Here is a 2,948-nt window from a genome sequence, read left to right as displayed (position 1 = left end):
CTGGATATGAAATTCTGGGTTGAAAATTCTTTTCTTTAAGAATGTTGAATATTGGCCCCCACTCTCTTCTGGCTTGTAGGGTTTCTGCCGAGAGATCCGCTGTTAGTCTGATGGGCTTTCCTTTGAGGGTAACCCGACCTTTCTCTCTGGCTGCCCTTAACATTTTTTCCTTCATTTCAACTTTGGTGAATCTGACAATTATGTGTCTTGGAGTTGCTCTTCTCGAGGAGTATCTTTGTGGTGTTCTCTGTATTTCCTGAATCTGAACGTTGGCCTGCCTTGCTAGATTGGGGAAGTTCTCCTGGATAATATCCTGCAGAGTGTTTTCCAACTTGGTTCCATTCTCCACATCACTTTCAGGTACACCAATCAGACGTAGATTTGGTCTTTTCACATAGTCCCATATTTCTTGGAGGTTTTGCTCATTTCTTTTTATTCTTTTTTCTCTAAACTTCCCTTCTCGCTTCATTTCATTCATTTCATCTTCCATTGCTGATACCCTTTCTTCCAGTTGATCGCATCGGCTCCTGAGGCTTCTGCATTCTTCACGTAGTTCTCGAGCCTTGGTTTTCAGCTCCATCAGCTCCTTTAAGCACTTCTCTGTATTGGTTATTCTAGTTATACATTCTTCTAAATTTTTTTCAAAGTTTTCAACTTCTTTGCCTTTGGTTTGAATGTCCTCCCGTAGCTCAGAGTAATTTGATCGTCTGAAGCCTTCTTCTCTCAGCTCGTCAAAATCATTCTCCATCCAGCTTTGTTCTGTTGCTGGTGAGGAACTGCGTTCCTTTGGAGGAGGAGAGGCGCTCTGCGTTTTAGAGTTTCCAGTTTTTCTGTTCTGTTTTTTCCCCATCTTTGTGGTTTTATCTACTTTTGGTCTTTGATGATGGTGATGTACAGATGGGTTTTCGGTGTAGATGTCCTTTCTGGTTGTTAGTTTTCCTTCTAACAGACAGGACCCTCAGCTGCAGGTCTGTTGGAATACCCTGCCGTGTGAGGTGTCAGTGTGGCCCTGCTGGGGGGTGCCTCCCAGTTAGGCTGCTCGGGTGTCAGGGGTCAGGGACCCACTTGAGGAGGCAGTCTGCCCGTTCTCAGATCTCCAGCTGCGTGCTGGGAGAACCACTGCTCTCTTCAAAGCTGTCAGACAGGGACACTTAAGTCTGCAGAGGTTACTGCTGTCTTTTTGTTTGTCTGTGCCCTGCCCCCAGAGGTGGGGCCTACAGAGGCAGGCAGGCCTCCTTGAGCTGTGGTGGGCTCCACCCAGTTCGAGCTTCCCGGCTTCTTTGTTTACCTAAGCAAGCCTGGGCAATGGCGGGCGCCCCTCCCCCAGCCTCGTTGCCGCCTTGCAGTTTGATCTCAGACTGCTGTGCTAGCAATCAGCGAGATTCCGTGGGCGTAGGACCCTCTGAGCCAGGTGTGGGATATAGTCTCGTGGTGCGCCGTTTCTTAAGCCGGTCTGAAAAGCGCAATATTCGGGTGGGAGTGACCCGATTTTCCAGGTGCGTCCGTCACCCCTTTCTTTGACTCGGAAAGGGAACTCCCTGACCCCTTGCGCTTCCCAGGTGAGGCAATGCCTCGCCCTGCTTCGGCTCGCGCACGGTGCGCACACACACTGGCCTGCGCCCACTGTCTGGCACTCCCTAGTGAGATGAACCCGGTACCTCAGATGGAAATGCAGAAATCACCCGTCTTCTGTGTCGCTCACGCTGGGAGCTGTAGACCGGAGCTGTTCCTATTCGGCCATCTTGGCTCCTCCCACAAATTTATTATGTTATGCTGCTAGAGGTCAGAGTCCCACATATTTTCTCCTGGGCTAAAATCAAGGTGTCAGCAGATCTGTGTTTCTTCCGGACACTATAGAGGAGAACTGGGTTTTTTGTTGTCAGTTGTTTGTTTTGTCTTTTCCAGCTTCTAGAGGTTGCCCACATTTCTTGGCTTGTGGCCCCCTTCCAGAAGCAGTGATATTTCTTCAACATCTGCTCCCATCTCCACATCTCTTCTGCCTCCTCATTAGGACCCTTATGACTACATTGGACCCATCCAGATAATCCAGGATAATCTTCTCATCTCGGGAACCTTAACTTACTCATACCTAAGCCCCTTTCGCCATGTAGGGTAACATATTCATAGGTTCCTGAAATTACAACATGGACATCCTTGGAGGACAGCCACTTTGTGTAAGTTAGCATGCCTTTACCAGCACACCATCCCTCTCTCTGACATGCTTTCTATTTTATTTGTTCATTGACTCAACTTAGTAGCTTAGAAAGTGAGCAATGTGAGATGGGGGCTTTATCTGCTATATTTCCAGGGGCTGGAATACAGCCTCACTCATAGTAAGCATTATTTATATAGGTACATACACACACACACACAGATAGATGTACACACACACGTACATACATATATACACACACACGTGTGTGTGTGTGTGCATGCACACGTGCATTTTGAGACAGCATCTTGCTCTGTTGCCCAGGCTGGAGTACAGTGGTACAATCTCGGCTCACTGCCACCTCCACCTCCCAAGTTTAAGTGATTCTCATGCATTAGCCTCCCAAGTAGCTGGAATTACAGGTGTGTGCCACCACACCTGGCTAATTTTTTATATTTTTAGTAGAGATGGGGTTTTGCCATGTTGGCCAGGCTGGTCTCTAACTCCCGGCCTCAAGTGATCCACCTGCCTCAGCCTCCCACATTGCTGGGATTACAGGTGTGAGCCACTACCCCTGCAATCAATATATATTTTTAAATAAATAAATAAATAACTTCATAAATGCATCATTTCTCCCCTGCAAATAGTATGAAAGAGAATTTCACAAGGCTATTTTGGACTCCTGTTAATGCTGAAAGAGACCAATACTGCAAATGCCATTACTTACTAAATATTCTGATTTTCTGCTTCATACAGACAACAGGGAGGGAGATAACCAGGCATCACATACCTGTGA

At 47.1% G+C, this 2,948-nt stretch overlaps 1 annotated feature.

Annotated features, from left to right (window-relative positions):
* Window positions 1,028-1,566: an enhancer, noted in NCBI's record as "H3K27ac-H3K4me1 hESC enhancer chr20:54434810-54435348 (GRCh37/hg19 assembly coordinates)". NCBI's record gives its function as "activates a minimal SCP1, AML or CMV promoter by ChIP-STARR-seq in naive H9 embryonic stem cells {active_cell/tissue: H9 hESC(naive)}" and the evidence as "EXISTENCE:reporter gene assay evidence [ECO:0000049][PMID:30033119]".

This window comes from Homo sapiens, chromosome 20, assembly GCF_000001405.40.
Source record: "Homo sapiens chromosome 20, GRCh38.p14 Primary Assembly".
Taxonomy (NCBI): domain Eukaryota; kingdom Metazoa; phylum Chordata; class Mammalia; order Primates; family Hominidae; genus Homo; species Homo sapiens.
This window is presented reverse-complemented; position numbering and strand designations above follow the sequence as displayed.